This window comes from Homo sapiens, chromosome 10, assembly GCF_000001405.40.
Source record: "Homo sapiens chromosome 10, GRCh38.p14 Primary Assembly".
Classification (NCBI taxonomy): Eukaryota; Metazoa; Chordata; class Mammalia; order Primates; family Hominidae; genus Homo; species Homo sapiens.
In genome coordinates this window covers 24699393-24726939 of record NC_000010.11, presented here as the reverse complement: position 1 = coordinate 24726939, position 27547 = coordinate 24699393, and the positions used below count along the sequence as shown (strand labels likewise).

Below are 27547 nucleotides of genomic sequence, written 5' to 3'. Positions count from 1 at the left end.
ACAGGCATTGGCCACCACACCTGGCTAATTAAAAAAAAATTTTTTTATAGATATAGGGCCCCGTTATGTTGCCCAGGCTTGTTGAACTCATGGGCTCAAGTGGTCCTCCTGCCTGGGCCTGCCAAAGTGCTGAGATTACAGGCATAAGCCACCGCACCTGGCCTTAAAATTTCTTCACATCTATTATCTCATTTGATTCTCTTTAACAGTCCAGCAAGACAGGGAGGATGCTGTTACAACTCAGAGGTCCTGTAGAAGCCCAGGACACAGGTTTTTCAAATCTTAGCTGTGTGCCTTTGCACTTCTCCGTACAGATAGCCTAATACACTTAAGATACCTAAGATAGTAACTTATCATAACAGTTCTTAAAAACATTCCCAAATTTTAGAACATCACAATTATATTTGTCCCAGGAGTAGAGTTAAATTGGCACTCAAAGACCACAATAATTCACACATAGTAAGTTAAGTGTTAGCTGTTATTATTAAAAACCCATATTAAGAGGTAGTACAGTGATTTATTTATTTATTTATTTATTTATTATTTTTTGAGACACAGTCTGGCTCTGTTGCCCTAGCTAGAGTGCCACACTTGGACAGGGCTCACTGCAGCCTTGAACTGCTGGGCTCAAGCGATCCTCCTGCCTCACAGCCTCCTTTGTAGCTGGGACTACAGGCACATGCCACCACGCCCAGCTAACTTTTTGTTTGTACAGACGGGTCTCCCTATGTTGTCCACGCTGGTCTCAAACTCCTGGACTCAAGCGATCCTCCCACCTCAGCCTCCCAAAGTGCTGGGATTACAGGCATAAGCCACTGGGCCCAGCCTAGTATAGTGTTGTGAATAAAAGAATGGACTCTGGAGCCAGATCCCCTGGGCTTGAATCCTTGCTTCACCACCCACCTATCTCAATATGTTGTGTGTAAAGCTTTTAGAGGAGTACCTAGCAGGAGGTATTGAATTTGATAGCTCTAGTACTTAGACACATAAGTCATAATTTTCCCTAAGTTACGTGGTAAATGATGGAGTTGGATTGTAATCTTGATCCTTACATCTTATTACCTCTTATAGAAATATTGCCTCTCTAGGTTATGTTATTTTTCCATAATTCCTAGAATGTGTTTTCCTTCCTTTTCCTTCTCCTTTCATGGCCCACATTTTACTCTCCTTTATCAAACTGAAAATTTCACAATCAACATTTAAAAAATTTCTAGTGCAAAAATTTTAACCCAAAAGTCCTCAGCTGTTAGGTACGCCGTTCATGCCATGCATGCACATTTGCATGTGCAAGGAGTTGTTTTGTGCTGTAAGTTGTTTTTCCTTTCTGGACATATTCTATAAGCCCACAAGCGGTGAGCTACTTGAACCCTGAATTTCTATTCACTTCTTGTTAATTTACTCAATTGTATCTAGCACTGGATACTGCTACAGCCACTGGGCTATTTAGTAAATTACCATCTGACTGAAATACAGTCCTTGTATTTTATTCTATTTTTCTTTTCTTGATTATTAGCTGACTTGTTTGGTGACAGGCTGTCAAGAACACGCAAATTTCATGGCCATATAAAAATGATCTCGTCAACGTCTTCCCTCGAATTGAAGCGGAGGATTTAGTTGTAGATTTGGTTTGGCACCTTCCACTTTAAGGAAGATGTAAAAACTAAGGCGCAGGTACTCCAGCTGCAGGGAGTGTTTTTTGTCCCCGCTCCCCTGTCCCCCATAAAGAAACAGGACCTCAGGTGGTGGGCGGGCGGGGAAGGAGAAGGGATGTTTCTAAGTCTACAGGGGAGAGTGTAGAAAGAAAGAAGGAAAAGGTAAGAGGACTCCACAGTTTCTAGGTTTTGTTCTTCTTTTTTTCCCTCTGGACAGCGGTGGCAGCTGATCAGACACAATAGCTGGCAGTCCCCGGCCGCAGTGAGGATAAAAATGACCCTCAACAGCACCAGCAGGAGCACCGAGAAGGGGAGGGGAGTGTGTATGGGAGGGGGCGAGGATGAGGGTGACAAGGTGACAAACGCTGCCTCTGACTGCGAGCAACTCCCCCTCCAGCCCCGCGAGGCTCGGAGCCGGGGAGCCACCTCCCCGGAGCGGGGCGGGGTGGGAAGGAGAGGCCGAGGGGGCGGTGGCCTTCACCCGGGGGCGGGGAAGAGGGCGGAGGGAAGCCTGATTTACCAGCCCCTGATTGGTTCGCGTTCTCTCGTCGCGTCTCCCGATTGGGTAATTTGCAGCGGGAGATGTTGTGAGGCACGGCGGGGCGGAGCGAGCTGCCGGGGTCTGTGACAAGGCCCGGGAATTGGGTGGGGAGGGTGGCGGTTGTGCCGCGGCTCCGGAGCCGCTGTGACCTGGAGTGTGGCGGACAGAGAAGCGCAGCCGCCTCTCCACAGTTCCGCTAGCCGCGCCAAATTCGCTCAGCCGCTCTGCAGAATTTATAAAAGGGAAAGAACTGAATGAGCAACGCTTGGCTAACTTCCCCCTTCCCACCACAGGAAGAGATTTTTGCTGTGAGGCGTGAGGGGACACTCCCTTATCTGGAAGTCCCACGTCTCGTCGCAGCTTCATTGCCTTCCCGCTGCAAAAAAGGGGTGGGGGCACAATTTGCCAAGCCCTGTCCCCCAATCTAGGACCTTTGATCCCTGGAGTCTGCAGATGTCGCTGTTATAGGCTTGTCCCCCTCTCCACCCCAGACGTCTACCACCAGGTCTCCTTTCCCGGGAGCAAGCCCATCCCTGGACGCTGCCGTTCAGCGCTTGGGAGACTGCAGGGGCGGGGAGCGTTGTGTGCCTGGTTTTGGGGTGCTGGGGGGCGAGGGCTTGTAGGTCCCGCGACCCACGGGGAGGGGGCAGGCGAGCACCCCGCTCCGGCCTCCGGCTAATCCCCCTTCTCCAGCGTCGGTTCCCCGGTCCCGTGTTATTCAAGACAGAAAATATTCAGCCCCAGAGCCTCCCCTGGGGAGGGGAGGGGAAGGAGGTGGAGTGGGAGGAGGTGGATCCAGGGAGGAAGAAGCGAGAAATCCGCCCCCGGGAAACAGCTCCGCGCGGCCACGGAGCGAGGCGCTTCTGTCACTTGGCGTTCGCGGGCGCCGGAGCTGGGCCCCGGCCCGGCCCGGCGAGGCGAGGGGAGAGTCCGGCGGCCGCCGCCCCGCCCCACGCCCTCCTGCGGCGGCCGAGAGCCCGGGGCCGGCCGGGGCAGGTCGCGGCGGTGCCTGGGAGCGGCCGGCCGGGGGCGGCGGCCTCGGAGCGCGGCGGCGGCGGCGGCGGCGGCGGCGGGCAGCGCGGGATCGTCCGGCTGCGGGGTCCGGCTCACGCCGGGCGGGCGGGCGGGGCGCGCTGTCCCGGAGCCGGCCAGCCCCGTGCGGATCCACTCGTCCCGCTTCCTCTGGTGCGTGTCTGGTTTCTTTTCCGTCTCAGCCGAGAGGGCGCTGCGCTCGCGGGCCGTGGAGTGCCCGGCTTGCCGCGGGCTCTCTCCCTTCCCGCCACAGGCCACCCGGCCGGGCGCTGGCTCGGGGCCGGAGGGAGCCCGCGGCGGGCGCCCGGCGGGGGCGGAGGGGCCGCGCCCGCGTGTGCGGAGCAAGGGCGGGCGGCGGGGCGGAGGGAAGGGCACAAAGGCCGGCGGTGGGCGCTGGGGTCCGGCCGGCCAGCCTTGGAGGAGGGGCGCCTGGGGCCGCTCATGAATATTAACCGAGCCTGCGGCCTAGCGCGTCCCGGCCGGGCCCGGCGCCCGGCCAGCGTCTCCGCTTCAGCTCGCCGCCGCGCTTCGGCCGCCGGGCCCGAGCGGGCGGGAAGGGTAAGGCCCCCGGTTTTGTCTCGCCCCGGGGCTCCTAGCACCTTTGAGAAAGTCCATATTGGGGCCGCTCTCCTCGGGAGCTCGAGGTCCCCGACCCGCCTCAGGAAGGGGCGGGGGAATCGTGGGGAGGTGGGTGGTGGTTTGCTTTTTCTCGTTTTTTCCCCCTAGGTGGCCACAGGGGAAGGGAAGCCGTGTCGAGTGGTAGTTGGGGGAAAAGCCGCGACTTCAGAGTTGCTCGGGTGTAGCTCCAGAATCATGCCCTGGAGCGGGAGCGGCGCCGGCGTCCCACCCGCGGCCGCGCACGCCTCCCCGGCCGTCCCCACCCAGCCCCGCCGCGGGCCAAGGAAAACAGCCGCCTCCTCGGGGACGCCGGCCGGGGCGGAGGGGCGGAGGGGCGGCGCCCGAGTCACCCGGAGACGCCGCCGAGCCCACGCCGGCCCCAGCCAGGCTGGCTTTGTGCTTGCGTTTTTGGGGGGCGGAGGGGAGCGAAGAGGGGGCTTGGAAAGTGTGATCCCATTTCAGCCTCGTGGGGGAGAAAACTTCACCGAAGTGTCCCTGTCTGGGTGATGCAGAAAACAACATGCACAGCCCTCTGCTCTACCCAGGAAAGACATGAATTAAAATGCACTTGAATGGGGAACATTTTTTCTTGAAGGCTGCATAACAGCCAGGTGTGTTTGACGCAACCGCTGGGCAGTTTCGAGATTTCTCTTTTTTAAACACCCCCTCGAATTTATAGGCTTTTTGTTTGTTTACGTTAAAATTTTTTTTTGTTTGTTTTGCTCGGGAGGAAACGCGAACTTGGTGTGGACATGTGGGCAAGACAGTGATAGGCGCCTGGAGAAAGTTCATGACCTTTAACTTCTCGTTTTCCTAGGATCTCTCTAGGAGCTGACACTCGAACCTTCACGACCCATTCGGATTTTTCCAGGACTCAGGAGTGGCACTGGGAAGAAGGGGACCGCTTTCTGCAATTGGCCTCGACACTGGCTGCCAAGAAGACCTGTCGCCTTTGTTTTTAAGTCTCCAGAAATGGAAGAAGAAGGCGAAGTCAGTTGAAGTCACGAGAAATCAGCGAGGCATTTGAAGGCGCTTCCTGAAAACCTTTATTCCCTGGCACGTTGTCTGTTTCAACAGCCCTGCCCCTCCTCGGAGCCTGCTTGTGGAATTCTTCCCCTTCGGGTGTGTGGTGGCATTCCCCGCCACGTCCAATGTGGACTCCAAAGGATTTGTCCCTTCTTTGTCATTTGAAATGAAATGATGGCCACGCGTCGGACTGGTCTGTCTGAGGGAGATGGTGACAAGCTCAAGGCCTGCGAGGTAAGCGCGGAGCCAGCGTTCCTGGCCGGCAGGGCGGTGGCCTGTGTCTTGAGCGTCCTGCAAGTTGGGGGTTACCGGCCACGGGGCCTCACTAGGGGCTTCCCGGGGCTTTGAGCCTGTTGGCGGGAGCGCCCCAGCTTAACCAGTAGCGAGGAGAAGCCTGGCCCACGTCTGTTTCCAGGGACTCCCGTGTTTCTTTTGCAAGAACATGTCCCGCAGTTTGGAATGTCCTCATCTTGGTCACCCCTTCTCAGAGCCAGGAATTCTCCCGTCTCTGTGGCTGTGGATGCTACAAGCCTGAGAATGGGCACCTCAGTATCCGTTTTCCTTCAGTCCCCTTCCGAGATATTTGGAGTTGAGCTGGTTGGGGGTGGCTTTCAGCATTTGTGTCTGCTCCAAGGTGCAGAGAGGGCAGCTAGTATGCTTGTTGCACCTGGAACTTAGTCTTTCTTTGGTACTGACGAGGGGAGTCTGGCTGCTGTTGCTGCAGATCTCTGCTTTAGGTAGAAAAAGAAGTGTTTTTCCGTGAATAGTTTAAGCACAGCCTTGGAAAACGACCTTACAGAGTCGTAATTCCAACTCCCGGAAAAATCTCCTGCCTTTACTGTTCTCTTATTTATACCCTCCCTTTCACTACTCTGAAGTTCTGTGAGCTGCTCTGGGGTGTCAGGTGGGTTGCGTTGCTGGTTAGGGTAGCATCTAGCATCTAACATCTTCCCAAGGGCCCAGAGATTTTACTCCAGACTTCCTGAAAATTTTTGAGCAGGCAGGACAGAAATCATAGAAAATACATTGATTTATGACACGCATATACTCTGTTGCCTCTCACCTTTTTTTTTTTTCCTCGTGTTTGGAGATTGAAGTATTCGGAATTTACTTCTATTATGAATATACTATGTTTATCATTGGCGGTTCCTGTAATTTGTTCTTTAAATAGACTGAATATTGTTATCCTTTAAATTTTACTTTTGAGATGCCTATGTTTTCATTGAAGGGTTGAGGATTACTTTAGACAATAACATACCCAAATGAACCCTCATTCACTGTCTCACTTTCTTTTGCACCGGATGTTAAATTTTAACTTCATAGTCCTTGAAACAAGGGCTGGCTCTAAGTGTGTGAGTTTTGGCATTTTAATAAAAATGAATCAGAAGTTAAATTTTGGTTCATAAAGCAAGCGGAGAAACTTGCTTCATGCAGCTTACTTCATGTCGAATTAGAAAGTTTATGCAGAAAACGTTGTGAGGTACAGTGTGCTATTACTGTACAATTTATTAGGCAGAACTGTAGGTTTACATTTAGAATCAGTGTTTTACTTTTTGACATCTGTAAACACCTGCTTGCAGGCAAAAGCATGATTAAGTGGAACACCACAATCCTCTGATCACGGTAAACCATAATAACTCCTTTTGGAAGGCCTACCTGCAACCTGGTGATTGCTTAATGTGTATTGCAGTTACATAATAATATGTATTGTGGTCCTGAAGCCTTATTTGTCATTGTCTTGTGAATACTTTAATTAGCATTGTATTTGCATTCTGTTTGCAAGAACTAATGTTATTTGATTTTTTTTTTTTTTTTTGGTCATTTAAGAGATGTCCTGAAACCAAGAATTTAGACACATCTTGTCCTTGGCTAGCAAGCAGTATTTCCAGTTTGTTGCACACTTGGCTTTTATTAACAATGACAGTTATGTATTTTTTAACGGCTGTGAAATTTGTTTTCATTTGGACCTTACTGCTGGCAGCATGGCTATCTTGTTTTTAAGTTTAGCAATGAAGAAAACACAATATCACCTGTGTTTTGCTTATGTGAAATATATATACAGTATTTAGGTTTGGTATTAAACTACAATATTATTTGACTTTCTAAAGAATAGGTATTTTGCCTAGATTCTATGTGGAAGTGGAAATAAAGGGGATATATGTTGTCAGAAAACATTTTAAAACCTCAGGGTTGGGAGTGAAGAGAACTTGTGTAATTATTGCCTGTATTTAGTTGTGACGTGTTTTAATCTGTGATTGATGCTTCTGATACACATTAAATCTTGTGAATATTTTTTAGTAATAGGGAGTTAGTTGCTAATGAAATACTTTGGGCTGATATTTAGGTTTTTGAACATTGCATTTAATTTTTGTCGTCAATTTTATTAGAAGCACTACATTCCACAGTGGTACTATCACTCTTTAAAAAATTTTAAAAATCAATAATGTGTTTGGATACTACATTTATTATTGTGTTTTTAACTAACAAAGAGATGAGCATGTGTGTCTTAATAGTAATGCTGTTAATCAGCCAAGAAAACCTAACTTTATAGGACAGAAGAAATCAATGTAATGAATTAACAGGAGTCTCTGTTTCATGCTTTATCTAATTAGCCAACTCCACCTTCTCTGAATAAGGCCTTGTGCTTTGTTGAAAAACAATCAGAGATTTCTTGTTCATCTTAAGCATTGCAATTTTATTGTGTTGATATATGATATACATTTAGGCCTCCCCACCCCCAGGATATATTGGAAGCCTCAAAACAAATAAACAGCCCTCTTCAAATAAGAAATTAGGACAGTTCAGTAGAATATGTCTTGGCATTATACAGTAAGGATGGTCCAGATGGTACTCACACGAATTTATATACTTTTATACATCTCAAGGTGTATTTTTAAAACTTGAAATCACTCACTCTGAACCTCTTAAGTGATTTTTGGGGTGTGTGTGTGTGTGTGTGTGTGTGTGTGTGTAGTCCGTGAAGTCTTCTGACACCAATCCTTGAGTAACTTTGCTCACAAAATCACTTTATATAGATTCTTCTGTTGAATCCTCTATGATATTATCACCCCTTTTCATATCCATATAGCTTCATCTTTCAAGGTTTAACTTTTTTTTTAAGCCAAAGAAGAGAAAACTTTCCCTCAGCTTTCTTAACCACATGATTTTTTTTCCATTTCTAACATTTATTTCATTTTTTATCTGTAGTCCATACTCTTGTCCAGTAATAGAATTTTTGTCACTTTATTATTAAACTTTTTACTAATGCAAATGAACTTATTTTTGTTTTGCTTCTTGACCTAGGCTAAGATTATTCTATGACTGAAATGTATTATGGCTGATGAAATACACTTGTTGGTTGATTTTGAAATACTGTAAACAATACAATAAGACATTTTTCTGGGTACGAGTTTGTATGAATCCATGTGTTGACTCTTCCTTCTGGAATGCTGGACAGTTTGCTTTTGCTTTCATCCCAGACTCCCTAGTTCCTTCTCAGGCGCTCTCTCTTCTCCTCCCCTCCTTTCTATCTCCCTCTCTATCTGCCTCTTTTGTAGGGTTTTTCTTCCTCTTCTTGCCCCATTGTTGGTTTTATCCAGAGCCAAGGCCTTTCCATTCCTGTATTCTCTTTCTCACTCCCTGGGTTTTATTTTGCACTCTCCTGTGTGCTGGTGACTCCGTATCTACCCCTCTATCTCAGGCTTTATGGTTGATCTCTAGACCTTTTCAGCCAGTTGCCTATTTACCGAACACTTTTGGGGGATATTCCCCAGGCATTGCAAACTCATCAGATTTCACCGCTACCGCTGACTCTCCCTCTTCCTGTGCACCTTCTTTCGCTGAGTAGCACTACCATCTATTTATTGGTCCAAGTCAAAAACTAGGTCAGCATTCTCACTCTTCCGTCTCGTCATTCCTCATATGCAAAGTCTTGTGGAGTCCACATTCCCAATACCCACTACCCCCACCTGAGTTCAGGTCAGCTGCATCTCACTGATGAACCACAGAAACAGATTCCCTACGGAGTTTCCCAATAACTTAGCCTTGTCCCCTTCCGCAGCTCTGTCCCTACTGTAATCAGAATGATCCTCCTGATGGGCAGATGACCTGAGGTCAGGAGTTGTACACCAGCCTGAGCAACATGGTGAAACCCGGTCCCTACTAAAAATACAAAAATTAGCTGGGCGTGGTGGCGCACACCTGTAGTCCCAACTGTTTGGAGGCTGAGGTATGAGAATCCTTGAACCCGGAAGGCAGAGGTTGCAGGTAGCCAAAATCGCGCCACTGTACTCCAGCTGATCGTTACATTACCTCCTATAAGACAATTTTCTGTCTTCCCATTTCCTTTGAAATAAAATTCAGACCTCTGTGAAGTCTGAAAGGACTTTGGTAATTTGGTCCGCGCTTCTGTCTCACTTGTTACTTCTTTTTGTTCTTCCTAGATTGAACTCCTGTCAGGTCCTTTCTTCTACCCTTCCCTCTACTGTCCCCTGTTCCTCCTCCCTCTGCTCCATGGCTGATTTTTACTCATCATACTGGTCTTTTCTTCAATACTGCTTCCTCAGGAAAGCCTTCCCTGACCCGCAAGACTCTTTCAGTTGCCCCTAGTGTATTCTCTCAAAACACCCTGCACTTTCAGGAATACCAGTTACAAGTTTATCTATATCCCCCTTGGATTGCAGTCCCTATAAGAGCAGGGACCATGTTTGTTTCCACAGGGACTGACACATAGTAAGTGTCAGGTGATATTTTTTGAATGAATAAATGAATATGCAGGAAAGGCTTTACATTTTATTCAGTGTTCATTTAGATTCCCGGACATTATACTCTCTTGATTATCTTCCTTCCTCGTTGTCACCTCCTTCTGTCTCTTTGAGGTTTCCTCGACATCCTGATTTGCTAAACCTTTCTACACCTCAAAGCTCAGTTAATCCTCATTTCTTCTCCCAATACTGTTTCATGGTTTTAAATATCAAGTATATGCAGATAATTGACACACACACACTCACTTATATTTCTTTATGTGTACATGTGTATATCTCTATTGCTGACCTGCTCCTCTGTCTCGCAGAATCAGATTCCTATATCCAACTGACCTGACTGCCTAGAATCTCCATTTGAATAGTAAATAGGCATATCTAAAACCACAATCCTGACTCTACCTCCATTCCCCTGGCCCACCTTCCCAAGTATGCTCCTTCCAGTCTTCCTCATCTCAAGCAATAGCAATCCCATCCTTCCAGGCCAGGCATCTTGGAGTGATCTTTGATGTCTCTCTTTTTTCTCATATATGACATGTGGATCTGGTTGACTGATTTCTCCACTTCAGTCCTTGCCAGCCTAAAGCCTGTTCTCCACACAGCAATCAGGACAGACAATTTATAAATCAAGTTGTGTCATTCCTTTGCTCAAATTCCTCAAATGGCTTCTCATTTCTCTGAAGATTGAAGGCCAAAGTTCTTGCAGTGACCTGCAAAGCCCTGTATAATTGGTCCTTCCCCCTCCCTGAGCGCACCTCCTGTGCCTCTTCCCGCCTCACTCTGTGCTAGCCATTCTGGTCTCTTGCTTTTCTGCATGTACACAAACGTGGGAGTCCCCAGAGCCTTCCCACTCACTGAACCCTCCCCTTAGAACACTTCCCCCAGTCTCTGCACAGCTTGCTTCCTTGGCTCCTTCGGGCTTTTGCTTAGAGGTCACCTTCCGAGTGAAGCTTTGCCAACCACTCCCTTTGTTGAATGCCCCTCCCCTGCTCCCTGTGCCATGCTCTGCCTTCCTTCCTTGCTTTATCTCCCTATCACTTAGTCTCCACCCGGCATGCTTATGCATTTGATTTTGTTTGTTTATTTGAGACAGGTAATATATCTAGAACGCAGGTGTTGAGAGTGCAGTTTGTCTGTTTTGTTCACATTGTGTTTCTTGTGCCTAGAAGAGTGCCTAGCACATAATAGGTTGTCAATAAATATGTTTTTGGAATGAATAAAGACTTAGCAAAACTCCAAAATGTTACTGAGTTTGCATTTGGACATGTAGTATGTGAATTCTTATTTATTTTATTTCTTTTTGAGACAGAGCCTTGCATTGTCACGCAGGCTTGAGTGCAGTGGTGCAATCTGCGCTCACAGCAACCTCCGCCTCCCAGGCTCAAGTGATTCTCCTGCCTCAGCCTCCTGAGTAGCTGGGATTACAGGCGTGTGCCAGCATGCCTGGTTAATTTTTGTATGTTTAGTAGAGATGGGGTTTTGCCATGTTGCCCAGGCTGGTCTCGAACTCCTGATCTCAAAGTGATCCACCCACCTCATCCTCCCAAAGTGCTGGAATTACAGGTGTGAGCCACTGCGCCCAGCTGAATACTTATTTTAGTTTATATAAAATATGTACAGTATGAAATATGTTCTTCCTTAGACCTCCTGCCCACCTTAAATTCTATTTCATTTCCGTTAGAACTGCTGTTAAAATTTTTGGTGCCTTTTTTCTTTGCACCTTTTTTACCTTTGGGAAGCTGGTAACCAAGTAACAGTAACCAAGACAATGTGTAGTACAAATGTATGAAACAATTTCCACTAAGAGATGAGATCATGATAATTAACAGACAAGTGAAAGGGCAATCAGACTGGTCGATAAGAGAAGCTATAAAAAGATAATCTGTATGGATGATGTTTTATTTCTTAAAACGAATGGCTAGTATATGGATGTTCCTTATTATGTATTTTTATTTTTTCATGTCATAAATATTTCATAACCAGTTAAAAAAAGATCACAAACATTGACCGTGATGAAATGTTAACAGTTGTTTATTCTGAATGATGAGAATATCAGGATTATATTATTTTTACATTTTCTCTTTTTTATTACCAAAATGACAATAAAAGAACACTATGTATAGACTTTAAAAATAGGTAATATGTATTCAGTCTTGTGAAAATTTGGTTTGTGGCAAACCTACACTGCTTAAAACAATACTAAAAAGCATACACACTGCTCAAAGCAACACTTAAAAAACAATTTTTTCTTTTTCTTTTCTTTTCTTTTCTTTTTTTTTTTGAGATGGACTCTCACTCTGTCGCCCAGGCTGGAGTGCAGTGGCGTGATCTTGGCTCACTGAAAGCTCTGCCTCGCGGGCTCATGCCTTTCTCCTGCCTCAGCCTCCCGAGTAGCTGGGACTACAGGCGCCCGCCACCATGCCTGGCTAATTTTTTGTATTTTTAGTAGAGACGGGGTTTCACCGTGTTAGGATGGTCTCGATCTCCTGACCTTGTGATCTGCCTACTGTGGCCTCCCAAAGTGCTAGGATTACAGGCGTGAACCACCGTGCCCGGCCAAAAAACAATTTTTAAAAAGCAAGTTTCTTCATTGGAGGCATAGGATTCATTCTAGACTAGTTACAGTATGGTATAACTCTATTATTTAATTTTAATTTTGTGTTTCTTCATACACCTGAATTTAAGTGTCAGAATACTGTTCCATGCCAAAAGTTTTATGCTGCAAGTTAGGGTTAAAGCTAAAACCTGTTAGAATTGAGAATGATGGCAGTAGCAGCAGCAGGGATCATTAAGTGGCATTTCGGCAGAAGCCTGGATTTTAATGTATTGAGTGGGGCCTATCACTAGATAAGAGCCATCAGCAAAGTGAGTACCCAGATCTAAAGAATTTCTCCGTAAATTGTTAGTGTTCCTTCCCATTCATTTCTTCCAGGTTAAGCGTTTTATGAAGTTCATTGTGCCTTGATGTTCTTCATTTCTTTAGTTACTACCAGGTCAAGTAATCTAGCACAAAGGTAATATTCAGTTTCTTTTGTTCTTTGCTTTGTGAAGGGTCCTGTCTTCTTATTATAGTTAACAATATGCTGATTTAAGTATGGGCAATGCTAGCGTTGATAAGATGCACAGATGCTGTTATTCAATGCAGCTATTTTCTGTTACAGAAAGACCATATGGTAGGCACTTGTTTTTCTGTCTAGTTGATGTGATTAGATTACTAAAACGAAAGGTTATTGGACTTAAAGATTGTCCTACTATTTTATCTAATTTTAATTGACTGTAAGTAATTAAATGTGTTAAAATATTGTAAGCCTTCCATATCTTCCCTGGTTTGAAGTAGAAAGATATCTAAATGCAAAAAACTCAATTTTGGATTGCTTTCACTAAAATAGTTTTATGGTTTAAGTTGCCATGTTCTTATAAAATTGGGTATTGTGCAAATTATTTCACAATCTAATCTGGATGATGGCATTTTGTGCTTCTCAAATAATCCAAAAGACAAATGGATATATTGTACTATAGGTTTGAGAAACTTGATGTGGGCTGGACGTGGTGGCTAATGCCTGTCATCCCAGTACTTTGGGAGGTAGAGTCGGGAGGATTGCTTGAGCCCAGGAGTTTGAGACCAGCCTGGACCAAATAGGGAGACCCCCATCACTTAAAAAAAAAAAAAAAGAAAAAAAGAAACTTGATGTGATGGAAATGTTTTATAAGTCCTCTTCTAGTTATCTATTTAATGTGCAAGAATTTCCACTATGTAGATTTGTGAATAAAAGAATAGATTGAGAACCCAAATTTGATATTTCTGACTATTCATCTGTTTCGGGGTAAGTAGACAGATCAGAAGAAACTGTTTATTATTGTAAAAAATAAAAATAAAAAAACAGGGAAGTTAAAGACTTTATTTACTTTTCCCTGGTGACTAGCTGCTGAGTTTTCTATTTGATATTGGGTGTGTTTTTGATTCAGAATTGGTTACTTACTATGTTTTCCCCTGTTGCTTATCTCTGTTCTGAAGAGGGCTCTGGCATAGTCAGGAGTAGTGCTATGTATGCAGCACTGTTTATAATCCCACAACTTCTTTGCCCTTCGTACAACCTAAGGAAGACACTCTCTTGAGTTCTATTTTTTTGTTCATTGCACTACTCATTAATATATTGAGAAGACTTATATTCTTGAGTATATGTCCTGATTTTCTCCTTACTCACAATGTGGAGACTGTCCTTGAATATCAGTAGATACAAAGCTGGATTTATGATTATATTTAGACATTCTTCTGAATGTGGCATAGCTAGTGTGATCTTGGGAATTCATCAGCGCCGTTTTTTTTTTTAACCTTGAGGTAATACCTCTGTAATACCCAGTATTTGCCTAGTAAATACAGATTGTATATTTAAAAGAATTTGTATAAGGCAGATCAGTGAGACTTACTTTCTTCTCTGGGTTCTGCATATTGGCTTCTGGAAACATTATGTGCTAGTAGTGGATGTGAGGGGAAGGAAAGGCTCTGGGCACCCCGTTCATATCAGATTGTTATTCTAATCCTTTTAGGAAATTGTTTTTGTTTACTTTTTTTTTATTTAATCATATAGACACCCTTCTTTGTCCATAGATTGTATAAACAGCCCTCTGTATCCATGGGGTTGCACATTCGTGGATTCAACTAACTGTGGATCAAAAATATTGGGGAAAAAAATTGTGTCTGTGCTGAACAAGTACAGAGTTTTTGTTCTTGTCATTATTCCCAAAACCACAGTATAACAACCGTTTATGTGGTATTCACATTGTATTAGGTATTGTAAGTAATTTAGAGATGATTTACTGCAGGAGGTGTGTTAGGTTATATGCAAATATTGCTTCATTTTATATTAGGAACTTGAGCATGCGTGGATTTTGGTATCCGCAGGAGGTCTTGGAACCAATCTCCCATGAATATTGAAGGACCACTGTATAGATCATATCTATTTTGTGGCAACATAGGTCCAGTCTCTGCCTGTCCGTACATGGCCTTCTCCACTGCATGCCCAAGTCTCCATCTGCCTTTCTCTTGTAAGGTCATATGTCACTGGATTTAGGTAATTCTCAAGATCCTTAACTTGGCCAGGTGCAGTGGCTCACACCTGTAATCCCAGCACTTTGGGAAGCTGAGGCAGGCAGATCACTTGAGGTCAGGAGTTCGAGACCACCCTGGCCAACATGGCAAAACCCTATCTCTGCTAAAAATACAAAAAATTAGCTGGGTGTAGTGGTGCATGCCTGTAATTCCAGCTACTCGGGAGGCTGAGGCATGAAAATCGTCTTGAATCCAAGTGGCGGAGGTTGTGGTGAGCCCAGATGGAGCCACTGCACTCCAGACTGGGTGACAGAGTGAAACTGTCTCAAAAAAAAAAAAGTTCTTAATTACATCTGCAAAGACCCTTTTTCAAAATAAGGTCATGCCCACAGGTTCTGGGTGGACATATCCTTTCAGGGGGGTTACTGTTCAAACCCCTACACTGGGGTTTCTTCTGTTTGGTCACATGCTCAGATGTTTCTCTTTGCTCCCTTCTTTCCAGATGCTGATGCTGTGTACAACTTAAAAGTGTTGTTAGTGATTTGCCTCTTCTCATGTCTGTTTTGGGGTTCCTAGGGATGCCTTGACACCTAGTTTTGTTGTAAATATTGCCCACGTGTTTTTGTTGTTGCTGTTGGCTTGCTATCTGGCTGCACTTATCTTTTTTTGAGGGGAGAAGGGAATTCAGGGAGATTTCCATGTTGATTCTCAAATAAGGAAAAGATAGTTACGTGAATATTATCCTTCATGTGAAACAGGTTTGAGTTTTCTAAAGGATTTTACAGATGAAGATGTTCTGACGTGGGGACTGAAGATGGGAAAAGTAGACTGTGTTTAGGAATGATTTATAAAAGATTGATTATAGTTGGGCCTTTAGTCTCTGAGTTTTTTTTTTTCTTTTTTGGTATGAACTTTTCGTTTAGTGGTTCCCCTGGGAACTTTTGAAAATCAAATGCCTGAAACCCTTCTTTTCCTTCTCCCAGAATTTTTCAGCATCTTAGAGGATGGAATAGTATCAGTTGTTAGATATGCAGCGATTTTGCTAGAAGCCCAAGTGCTCCAACTAACTTCTTTCTCTCTTTCTCTCTTTCTTTCTCTTTTTCCCTCCCACCCTCCCTCCCTCCTTCCTTCCTTCCTTCCTTCCCTTTTTTTTTTTTTTTTTTTTTTGAGATGGAGTCTTGCTCCATTGCCCAGGCTGGAGTGCAGTGGCGCGATCTTGGATCACTGCAACCTCTGCCTCTCAGGTTCAAGTGATTGACCTGCCTCAGCCTCCCAAGTAGCTGGGACTACAGGCACCCTCCACCATGCCCAGCCAATTTTCGTATTTTTAATAGAGATGGGGTTTCGCCATGTTGGCCATGCTGTTCTCGAACTCCTGACCTTGGGATCCACCCGCCTTGGCCTCCCAAAGTGCTGGGATTAAAGGCGGGAGTCACCGCACCAGCTACTTTCTTACTGAGATTGAGGAAGGAAGCAACTTGTGTTTTGCCTACAACTGATGATAATGACCCTTTTGTTCCCAAGATAGAAGTTAATCAAAAATGATTCAAATTTGATCTAGTGCCAAACTTTCCTGTTATATTTAGAAGTGTCCTTCCACATTTATTAACAAATTCAACAAACATTTATTGAGCACCTTCTGAGTGCCAGACACTGAGGGTGCGCAGCATAAAAATACAGACATAGTCTGGTTCCTACCTTCATGGGTATACATGGGCAATGGGAAGCGCAGACAATTGAACAAGTACTTATAGTAGAGTTGCAATGAATAGGATTTTAGCAGAAGAGTAAGGAGCTATGAAAACATATAGCAGGCTGACCTCACCTACTGTAGAGATCAGGGAAAATCTTCCTGGGAAGATTGTGTCTAAGCTAACTGAGGAAGGAGTTAACTAGGTAGAAAGAAGAGAAGAATGTTGTGGCACAGGGAACAACTTTAGATTCTGAATATGCTACAGCTAGGGAGAATATCTATTATCTCTAGAATACTAGGGAGAATATTTAATGTCTCACTAGATACTCTCTATCTAGAGATTCTACATATAGTATATCTAGAATATTTATATCTAGAGATACTGGATATTCTCCCTAGCTGTAGCTTATTCAGCTACAAGACCAGGAAGGGAAAAATATAGAAGTGAGCAACAGCCTTTATTGAGTCCTTTCAATGTACTCAAGTTAGTTTTCTCAGAAAGAACAACTTTTGTTTTTACCCATATTTCATCAGTTTCCATACCATCTACATTACATTATTACCAAACACAAAACAGACATAAAGAGATATGTGCAAAAATAAAACTGACTTATGTTAAGCTTGAATGTCACTTGTTGGGAGCAGAATTGAGTGTCTAGATTATCTTCCCAGTTGTAAGAGTTGAGCTTGCAGTACGGTTGGATTCAGTTTGCAGGTATTTTGTTGAGGACTTCTGTGTCTGTGTGCGTCAGGGATATTGGTCTGTAGGGTTTTGTTGTTGTTGTTGTTGTTGTTGTGTCCTTGTCTGGATTGTTTTTTTTTTTTTTTTAAGAGAAGGTTTTGCTCTGTCACCCAGCCTGCAGTGCAGTGACATGAACATGGCTTACTGTAGCCTCGACCTGCTGGCCTCAAGCAGTCTTTCTGTCCAGTCTCCTGAGTAGCTGGGACTACAGGCATGCACCATCACACCTGGCTAATTTTTAAATTTTTTTTGTAGAGATGAGGTCTCACTGTTTTGCCTGAGCTGGTCTTGAACTCCTGAGCTCAAGCTGTCCTGTCGTCTCAGCCTCCCAAAGTGCGGGGATTACAGGCATGAGACGCAGTGCCCGCCCCCTTTTCCAGTTTTGGTATCAGGGTGATACTGGCCTCATAGAATGAGTTAGGGAGAATTCCTTATTCCTTGATTTCTTAGAACAGTTTCAGGAGGATTGGTATTAGTTCTTTTTAGTTCTTTGTATGTTTGATAGAATTTGGCTGTGAATCCATCTAGTCCTGAGCTTTCTTTGTTGGGAGATTTTTTTAAATTACTGATTGAGCCTTGCTACTTGTTATTGATGTGTTCAGGTTTTCTATTTCTTCTTGGTTCAACCTTGAGTGGTTGTATGTTTCTAGGAATTTATCCATTTCCTCTAGGTTTTCTAGTTTGTGAGCATAATTGCTGTTCATAATAGTTTTTGATGATCGTTTGTATTTCTGTGGTATCAGTTGTAACGTCTCCTTTTTCATATCTGATTTTTTTATTTGGGTCTTCTCTCTTTTCTTTGTTACAACCTCTATGGAAAACTGTGTGGAGATTTCTTAAAGAAGTAAAAATGGAACTACCATTTGACCTAGGAATCTACTCAAAGGAAAAGAAATCCACTTATCAAAAAGATATCTGCTCTTGTATGTTTGTTGCAGCACTATTCACAGTAGCAAAGATATGGAATCAACCTAAGTGTCCATCAGTGGAGGAATAGACAAAGACAATGTGGTATATTTGGAATGGAAGACTATTCATGGAATACTATTCAGCCATAAGAAAGAATGAAATTATATCTTTTGCAGCAATGTGGATGGAACTGGAGGACATTATCTTAAGTGAAACAAACCAAGCACAGAAAGTTGAATATTGCATGTTCTCGCTCATAAGTGGGTGCTAAAAATTTGTACACATGGGTGTAGAGAGTGGAAGGATAGACAATGGAGACTCAGAAGGGTGACAGAGTGGGAGCAGGTGAATGACGATAAATTAGTTAATGGGTACAGTGTGTGTTATTTGGGTGATAAATATACGAAAAGCCAACTTGACCACTACACTATCTATGCAGATAACAAAATTGCATATGATACCCCATAAATTTGTACAAATAATAATAATAGAGTTGAGCCATGGGATCAGCCAGTATTCAAGAATTAGCCAGGAAATCAAGAATTTTGGTTGGTCTAGCAAGTCAGTTAGGCAGAGTTCAATTAAGCCAGCATCTATGGTAATTATAGTTTTGGGAGTTGATGAGGTCATTGAGGGAGGGAAGAGGGTCAAAGTCCAGAATCTGAGGAACACCACCAATTAAGGGACGGACAGAGGCCGACAAACCAGCCACCAAGGCGAACTAGTTAGAAACAAGCTTTTCAGTAGCCTCAGTTTTCAGATTTTGAGGACTTTGAATTTGATCTTTATATTTAGCCTTTGGCAAGCTTCCAGCAGCAGCATTGTTTAACCTAGCTTCTCTCAAATTTATTTTGCTATTGAAGACTTTTTTTTACTTAACTGTAGTTTATATTCTGCATCCTATAAAACAAGTAGGAACATACTTGGGAAACACTGCTGTATACAGGCAGAAAGGAGCAACAGAAGGAATTTATAGAGTAGTCATATGATTAGCTTTTAGTTTAAAAGGTGCTTTTGTTAGTCCTGAACAGACAAGATTCCAGAGAGGGGTGACAGGATGTTTGGGAGACCAACTAGATGCCCTGTGATAATCCAGGAGAAAGTTGATGGGGGTCTGAATTTAGGCAGTGCCGGTGGAGTGGAAAAAGGACAGTTCATTATATGTTTTGGGAGAAGTGACATGATTTGGTAGCTAGATATGAGAGGTAAGGAAGGAGGAGTCTAAGATGACTCTGGTTTCTGTTTGGGTGACTAGGGGGATGAGTTGTACAGCCACTATGCAGATTAGGGAATAGAGGAGGTCGTGCAAGTTTGGAGGGAAGGTGATGAATTCAGTTTTGGACATGTAGTATGTAGGTGTATGTGCTTAGCAAGTGTTTAGTCACGCAGATTTGGAGCTTGGGAGAAAGGGTGGTGTTGAAGAGGGCTTTAGAAATAATTCATAGTTAAAATCACAGGTTGAGGTGACTTCACCTATGGAAGTGTAAGAAATTAGAGGGAGGTCAAGGATAGAATTCTGATTTAGACAGAAAGGGGTGATCATCTTGAAACTATTAATCATTTATTAGATATCTGTTAGACACTGTTTTAAGCATGTTACAGATGTTATTTCAGATTAAACCTCGTGAAGGTATGTCTCCATCTTACAAATGAATGATTTGAAGCTTAAAGGATAAGTCTTTAGCCTCCTTGGTCATACATCTGTCTTATTAAGATCTAGGCTTTTCTCACATTGCTACATTGCCTTTTGCAAAGAAGTAATAGTTAAAGAAGTAGTAAGAGAACAAAGAGACTGGAACTGTGGTACCCAGGATGAGAGCCATTGAAGGAGTTGTTAGCTCTGTGTGGCGCTACTGAGAGGTTAAGAAAGGACGGAGTACCCTTTGGTACCCTTGGGATCAAGTCAGTGTGAGCGTCATTGATGATGGCACAGCCTTGTGTTGGAATTTGTTTGCTGTGGACCGGAGCCAGCATAGTTGATTGATTTATATACCACCTCCCCAGGTTGTGTTTTCATTGAATGACTAAAGATGCCCAGAAAAGAAGGAAAAAGCAATAACCTTTTACAAATTAAATAATGTTAAATACTCAGTAAGAATTTTATGAAAACTTTCCTTCATGATCTAATAATTTAAATGTACTGGTGGGAACTACATTTGGGAAGATGATGTCGTTCTGCCAGTTAGCTATTGCTGCTTAGACAGGAAAGGGAGGGGAAGATCTTATTTGTGGACCACATCACTGCAGAGCTCTCGTAACCCCGCTGCTCTGCTGACAGAAGCTGAGTCAGAGAAGAGATGCAGACTGTGCTATAGGCAGTCATGGCCCAGTTCAGGATTTTAGACTGCATGATCAACCACAATTGGAGTTTGTTGTGCAATCTGTATTGTGCATGGAGTGGTCAGGTTTGTTTCATAAGTGTGTATGTATATATTTGCTTTTTAATTCAAAACTGCTATGATGTATAAAGCAAAAGTAAATCAGGATATAAAAACACTGTCTTCTTGTAAGAGTAGGAAAGTAATCTTTTAGAATTTTTTTTTTGTCAAAATACCTGTTTAATGTGATAAATCTAATGATCTGAATTACTTTAAAAGAATTAAGTTAATTCTTAAGTAGCACAGATGAGACTATTTGCAGAGCTTTAAGTGGTGGAGGAGGGGAAGTTAGAATGAATTACTTAAAAGTGGCCAACAATTAAAGCAATATAATTGTAACATAAATGTTACATATTTTTGAAGGCATCTGACATTGTATTTATTAGAAAGTAGGCAAGATTTTGGAGTGAGTTGCTTTTTAGCTAGTTTTTCAGTTTTAGTGAAATATGGTTCTTGAGTTCTTTCACAGTGGGATTAAATGGAAGTACTTTTTAAAACTTTTTTGATTACTAGTCTGTTTAGAAAATGGTTATTTTGCAATAGAGAAAATCTGCTAGGTTAGCTATTGTCTGCTTTTGAGTGTTCTTCCCTAAGAAGCAAAAGCTCTTATTTTTCCCTTTATCCCTCGATCAACATTGTTATTATCAGACCTTTGTTGTTAATCGTAGATAATATTGTACAAATTCAGCATAATGGCTTCTTTTACAGAATAGAAAGCAACGTGAATGATAGCTTTTGTTCCAGTTATCAGTGAATCTTTAAAAACTATGAATTATTTACCTCGTAGGTTATTCATCACTTTGTGGGTATTTGTCTTCCTTACTAAAAACAAGTTATTTAATATTGTTTGAAATTTAAAAGGAAAACAGTTGAAAATGTAATTGAAAGCAATGAATGATAAATAAAGCACACTGACCATGCTTGCCCCAGCCCCAACCATTTCTCAGTTCTTCCATAACTGTGATGTGAGCTTCTTCGTTTATGATATGGAATTAGTTCCCAGTGGTACTTTGGGGTGTCCAATACTTTTCTTTATGTACTGTTTTCTCTATTCTGGAATGGTGAAAAAATATTTTCATAGTTTAGGCTGGGCATAATAGACTAATGTATCAGAGAAATCAGAGATGGAGAAGGTCATTTAGTCTCTGTTTGTTTCACCGTAAGATTGATCCCTCAATGCACTTTCTAGTCTGTGCCTAATGGATTTACATTACCGTAAAAAATATGGATTTTGAATGGCTGCTAAGAGGATAAAAGAAGATAGATACTGGAATTATCTTAACATGTAAAATTCATAATACCAGGAGCCTAACGAAGCTGAAACTTAAAATTTTTTAGCGTTTAGTGACTAGTTTACAGCAATTACTAAACTCATTAGTTAGTCTCATCATCAGAAAACTTTCTAGTTTGAGGTCTGAGACCTTTTTAAGACGTCTTCATTCTGGGTAATCCCAAAGGAATTTAATTTGAGTTGCAATAGAATCTAGGGGTGCATTGATCCAGTAAGCCAGCGATATCAAAAGTGCTTTTTTGGATGTGCCTTGGCCTGGGGTTTTTTGCTAGGATTGTTGTTGCTACCATCCTTGTGGTTTAGGTCTGATAATCAGCCATTTAGTTGCCAATGTCTCTGAGAAGAAGAGTTTTTAGGCCAGGCATAATGGCTCATGCCTGTAATACCAGCACCTTGGGAGGATCACTTGAGCCCAGGAGTTCGAGAGCAGCCTGGCCAACATGGAGAAACCCTATCTCTACCAAAAATAGAAAAATTACCACCAGACGCGGTGGCTCACACCTGTAATCCTAGCACTTTGGGAGGCCAAGGTGGGCAGATTGCCTGATCTCAGGAGTTCGAGACCAGCCTGGGCAACATGGCAAAACCCTGTCTCTACTAAAAATACAAAAAAAATTAGCCAGGCGTGGTGGCATGTGCCTAATAATCCCAGCTGCTTGGGAGGCTGAGGCATGAGAATCGCTTGAACCTGGGAGGCGGAGGTTGCAGTGAGCCGAGATTGTGCCACTGTACTCTGGCCTGGCAGTGGAGCGAGACTCTGTCTCAAAAAAGAAAAAAAAAAATAGAAAAATAAGTCAGGCATGGTGGTGTGCACCTATAGTCCCAGCTACTCGGGAGGCTGAGGTGGGAGGATCACCTGAGCGTGGGATGTGGAGGTTGCAGTGAGCTGAGAATGGGCCACTGCACTGCAGCCTGGGCCACAGAGTGAGACCCTGTCTCAAAAAAAAAAAAAAAAAAAGAAAAGAAAAAATGTAGAACTTAGCATAAAGTAAAAATGGCATATGACATCTCCTGTGGCTTCTGTGTCACCACTTAAAGTATTTGGTGGAGGTCACAAAATCAGTACTTTGGGAGCCAGGCAGTTGAAGAGTAAAGAAAGTGAGTGGATCACAGTCAGGGGTTAGACAATAGAGGCTGGTGGAGACCATGGATAACTAGAGATTTGGCTTTAGGAGATTGTTGTCATGTTGTACCCACTGTTGTCAGATCATTTAGATTTCAAGAGAAGCTGAAAATTTGAATTTTCATGTTAACGTGTCCTAATTTTTAAATGTTGATGACTAATTCAAGGTTTTCAAAATAGTGAGATCTAAGCAAAATACATCTGCTGACCAGATGTGGCTCTAGGCTTTTAGTGTGTAACCTCTTGTTTATAGGAATACTTAGGACAGCACTTGGTTTCTTTGAGTTTCACCGTTGAAGCTAAGCAGTAATCAAGGATGCTGCCGGATACCCTTGGAAAGCTTATGGTATAGGTCGGAAAGAAGTATGGGTGAGAGAAAACAAGTCGCAGAAAAGGCAGGATGGGAAGGAAGGAGAACAACTGAAGGAGACAGACAAAAGAAATGATACCATGGGAAGTGGGAGAGTGGCCATCATGTTTCTCAGGTTGCATACTGAGAATTCTGCAAGGTAACATTACTTATTAAATATTACCACTGTTGTATGGAGGCAGTATAGTGTTATAGTTGAAAGTGCAGAGTTTAGTGCCCAAGAACTGAATTCAAGGCCTGGAGTTGTTCCTGGCTCTGTGGCAGTGGTATGGCTTGAGTGTTACTTGCCTTCTCCTCTCTGACAGTACCAACATCAGGGATTGTTGTGAAGTTTAAAATGAGATAACCTGGATATAGCATTTAACATAGTGCTGGCGTGTTGAGTGCTTAATACATGCTTACAATTATTATTAGCGTATTCTAAGTTGGTATAGGTGATGTTATATGAGATTTACATTAAAAGTAAAGAGATGGTAGTAAAAAATCCATTAATTTAATTTTAAAAATTACAAATGCATGGTCACTTGTAAAAACTGGAAAATTAAAATTGGTTTACTTAATTAAATCCTTCAAATTCAACTCCTGTTAATATATTGATACTGCCATTTTTTTTCACCCAGTGTGTCTAGTTTGTGTGTGGGTTTTACAAGTTGGAATATTATGTACACTTTTCCATTTTAGGACATCATTTTCAATGCCTATATAATATAGAGTGTAAAGTACAGTGTATAATATTATACACTATAATATAAACTATGTATTATGTGTGTGTGTATATATATTGAAACCATTTATCTGTTGAACATTTAAATTGCTTCCAGTGTTCTGCTCTTATAATGTGTGGTGAATATCTTTGTGTTTTAAACTGTTTCCTGTTCAGGATTATTTTCATAGGATACAGTCTTAGAGGTGAAATTACTGGGTCATAGTGACACTATTTTTAGGATATAACTTTAATAACAGCCTGGGCAATATAGTGAGACCTCATCTTTACAAAACAATTAGCTGAGTATAGTAGTGCACACCTGTAGTCCCAGATATTTGGGAGGCTGAGGTGGGGCAATTGCTTGAGCCGGGGAAGTGGAGGTTGCAGTGAACCGAGATTCTGCCACTGCACTCCAGCCTGGGTGACAGAGCAAGACCTTGTCTCAAAAAACCAAAAAACAAAAAACCAAAAAAAAAACCTTAAAACAATACATTTTTTGTATTCTGAAGATCTTAGAGAGGTGATTGTTCTTGGGCTTCTTGACAGATGAGTGAATTTTAAAAAGTTGTAGATTACAATACTGGTTATTCCCATACCACAATTAAGAATGGAGGTATTGGCCAGGCGTGGTGGCTCACGCCTGTAATCCTAGCACTTTGGGAGGCTGAGGCAGGCGGATCACGAGGTCAGGAGATCGAGACCATCCTGGCTAACACGGTGAAACCCCGTCTCTACTAAAAATACAAAAAAATTAGCCAGGCGTGATGGCGGGTGCCTGTAGTCCCAGCTACTCAGAAGGCTGAGGCAGGAGAATGGCGTGAACCCGGGAAATGGAACTTGCAGTGAGCCGAGATCGCGCCACTGCACTCCAGACTGGACGACAGAGCAAGACTCCGTCTCAAAAAAAAAAAAAAAAAAAAAGAACCGGAAGTATTTTCTCCCCCTCACCAAGGTGTGTGATAAATTTCAAATGTTCTAATCAGTGTTTAGAAATAGGGGTTGAATGTTTGGTAATAATGGAGCCAGATACAAGAAGTTGTGCATTAAGGTTTCATATATATGGCATATCACATAATCCCAGTTCTTGGTTTCCTTCAAGTCCAATGACAGCTGTTATTACACAGCCACATACATAGGGAACTCAGAAGGAATACTGGGGAGCATCAAGCATGGGAGATCCTGGCATTATCACTTCTGTAGATACTTGTATACAGCCTGCGGTCTGTTTTCAGCTCAGCATCGAGTATGATCATTTTAAACATCAGAACATGAACATGGTATTCTACCAGAGTCCACCAGAGGCTGCCCATATTAGCATAAAAGCCAAGGGCCTGAAGAGATTTTGTTCCCTTCTTTCATTATCTCCAGTACCCTGTTTCTACTTCCTTTTCAAACCCTAGTCATTCTTCTCTAACCACACTGGCCTCCTTTGCTGTTCATCTCAGGGCCTTTGCACTCACCGTTCCCACTTCCTGAAATACTTTCATTTCAGATCTCTGCATAGCCTGCTGCTTTGCTTTCTTTAGGGTTCTATTCACATGTTCCCTTCTCAGAGAAATGTTCTGTTCCAATTTAAGATATTACAAAGGGAAAAACAATCATGCCATTAAAGAAGGCACTTTTTTTTTTCTTTGAAAGAAGGTTGTAAAATGATTGGAAATTTTTATTATTTAATGGAAATCTCATTTTGTATAAGTCCATTTCAGGAAAGAAGAGCCGGAGGAATCCTAGATTGGATCCTTCGAACTGGAAACGACAAGGAGATACCCACACCAAAGAGGCCTCAAGCTTAGTGAAGTTCCCTCTCTCCCTGGGGAAACCAAATGGAAGAGGGAAAGAGAGGCTGCATAGAGCATTTTTTTTTTTAATTTTTACTGCTTTCTCCCTGAAGCTCCTTCCTCTTGTCTTCCTCCTCCGCTCCTCCTGTTTTGTTAAATTGTGTCCTAGTTCTCTGTTCCTTAGAGCTGTTAAAATCAGCAGCTGCTTCTAACACCAGTAGACGGAGGCTTTACGTTGATAAGCTAGGAAATTGGAAATAGGCCTTTTGACACTTAAGGTACCTTAAATTCTTGCTACTTTAAGTGTGGTCTATGAACTGACCAGCAGTATCTACACTCCGGGAAGCTTGTAAGAAATGCGGATGTTCTGGTCTCACTCTAGACTTTAGGGAATCAGAATTTGCAGTTTAACAAGATCGTCAGGTGATTCTTCCACACATTAAAGCTCTGCCTTCAATGGCCAAAAGAGAGTTAAAGGTTATTTTTGAGAGGTACTTAATTTGTTTTTCTTTAAATATTACTTTACATTGTATCATCCTTTTAAAAATTAGGACAAATGCAAAGTATTATGGTGTTACCACTTACCATATTATTTAAATAATTATGTAGAAAAATTCTAAGTGGCTAAATGGTACTTCTTTTTTGCAACCACTGGATAAGATCCTAAATTAATCCAGAATACCTAATCATAAAGAAAAGCCTCAATTTTTCATGTTTTATATTTCATTGTTAACATAAATGGAAAAATCGAAACCATCTTTAATTCTTATTATTTTAATCAGTTAGGGAGCCTGGAAATTGGACTTTAGGCTGAGAACTCCGAGGGTTTTGCCTTGCCTAGGTGTAATACTTTAAATTGGCTTTTTTCCTGGCTTGACCTCCAGGCCAGCCTCTCTGTAGCGTTGTGGGTGTGCTGTGTGAGTGCTCTCTCTGCACGTGCTTGCGGCGCACTTCCACACTCATCACCTTGTGTATAAGACATCAGCTGGAAATGGCACAGGGAAACCTTGCTGGTGGGCAGGGTGCATATGGGATGAGCAGAGACACTAATATGTGCAGGGACACAACGGGCATTGCCAAAATGCACAGATGGCTGGTTTTCCACAGGTGGATCTTGCAGGTGAGAGCAAGGGGACGGGAATTAAAGGACAGAGGCCTATTAACCATTGTTAGGAGAAATCCAGCCAGACCGCTTCTGTATTTCACCAGCAGTATTGGAGAACCATTGACCTAAGCTTCAGAATTGCAGCTATCACAGCTATTGGCCTTCAGCAGGGGAGGAAAAAAAACACCTCTCTCTGCCCCTCACAGCAAGCTTCTAAAATGATGAAAAATGCCGCAGGAACGTTAGTTGAATATTTTGTGAGTGATGAAGAATAGGTAATATTTAGTGAGTACTTAACTATGTGTCAGACTATTTAACCAACTCTACAGAGATGCTATGAATATCACATTCCCATTTTACAGACGAAGAAGCTGATAAACAAGGGCTTAAGTCTCTTGTCGGGGCCACATAGCTAAGAAGGTGCAGAGCAGCACGCAGGCCCAGGGAGTGAGACTCCAAAGTCTGGGTGCTTGATGCCTTCTCTTTACCGAAGGATATAATGTAGTGTTCTAGTCATCAGCTTTTAAAACTAGTAATTCTAGGCCGGGCACGGTGACTCATGCCTGTAATCCCAGCACTTTGGGAGGCCGAGGTGAGCCGATCACCTGAGGTCAGGAGTTGGAGACCAGCCTGGCCAACATGGTGAAACCCTATCTCTACTAAAAATACAAAAATTAGCTGGGCATGGTGGCAGGCGCCTGTAATCCCACCTACTCGGGAGGCTGAGGCAGGAGAATCGCTTGAACCTGGGAGGTGGAGGTTGCAATGAGCCA

General features: G+C 42.9%; 1 protein-coding gene across 24 annotated transcripts in view, besides 8 other annotated features; it reads left to right on the top strand.

Moving 5' to 3' along the window:
- Positions 1934-2313: a silencer, noted in NCBI's record as "silent region_2228". NCBI's record gives its function as "represses an Ori minimal core promoter by ATAC-STARR-seq in GM12878 lymphoblastoid cells {active_cell/tissue: GM12878}" and the evidence as "EXISTENCE:reporter gene assay evidence [ECO:0000049][PMID:35858748]".
- Positions 2610-3520: an enhancer, noted in NCBI's record as "H3K27ac hESC enhancer chr10:25012349-25013259 (GRCh37/hg19 assembly coordinates)". NCBI's record gives its function as "activates a minimal SCP1, AML or CMV promoter by ChIP-STARR-seq in naive H9 embryonic stem cells {active_cell/tissue: H9 hESC(naive)}" and the evidence as "EXISTENCE:reporter gene assay evidence [ECO:0000049][PMID:30033119]".
- Positions 2610-3523: a biological region, named in NCBI's record as "H3K27ac hESC enhancer GRCh37_chr10:25012349-25013259".
- ARHGAP21 (Rho GTPase activating protein 21) overlaps positions 3053-27547 on the top strand; it is a 140274-nt gene continuing 115779 nt past the window's right edge. For 9 of the 24 annotated variants that reach the window (XM_047425561.1, NM_001367447.1, XM_011519605.3 and 6 more), the window contains exons 1-2: positions 3053-3378; positions 4661-5103. In XM_047425561.1, coding sequence (XP_047281517.1) covers positions 5041-5103 — 63 coding nt within the window. In that variant the 5' untranslated portion in view covers positions 3053-3378; positions 4661-5040. Of the gene's footprint in view, positions 3379-3718; positions 3784-4191; positions 4455-4660; positions 5104-27547 lie in introns of those variants that run through there. The other 15 variants (NR_160021.1, NR_160022.1, XM_047425562.1 and 12 more) reach the window with 4 other exon arrangements.
- Positions 3064-3253: a silencer, noted in NCBI's record as "silent region_2227". NCBI's record gives its function as "represses an Ori minimal core promoter by ATAC-STARR-seq in GM12878 lymphoblastoid cells {active_cell/tissue: GM12878}" and the evidence as "EXISTENCE:reporter gene assay evidence [ECO:0000049][PMID:35858748]".
- Positions 3284-3353: a silencer, noted in NCBI's record as "silent region_2226". NCBI's record gives its function as "represses an Ori minimal core promoter by ATAC-STARR-seq in GM12878 lymphoblastoid cells {active_cell/tissue: GM12878}" and the evidence as "EXISTENCE:reporter gene assay evidence [ECO:0000049][PMID:35858748]".
- Positions 3444-3523: a silencer, noted in NCBI's record as "silent region_2225". NCBI's record gives its function as "represses an Ori minimal core promoter by ATAC-STARR-seq in GM12878 lymphoblastoid cells {active_cell/tissue: GM12878}" and the evidence as "EXISTENCE:reporter gene assay evidence [ECO:0000049][PMID:35858748]".
- Positions 3544-3903: a silencer, noted in NCBI's record as "silent region_2224". NCBI's record gives its function as "represses an Ori minimal core promoter by ATAC-STARR-seq in GM12878 lymphoblastoid cells {active_cell/tissue: GM12878}" and the evidence as "EXISTENCE:reporter gene assay evidence [ECO:0000049][PMID:35858748]".
- Positions 3964-4273: a silencer, noted in NCBI's record as "silent region_2223". NCBI's record gives its function as "represses an Ori minimal core promoter by ATAC-STARR-seq in GM12878 lymphoblastoid cells {active_cell/tissue: GM12878}" and the evidence as "EXISTENCE:reporter gene assay evidence [ECO:0000049][PMID:35858748]".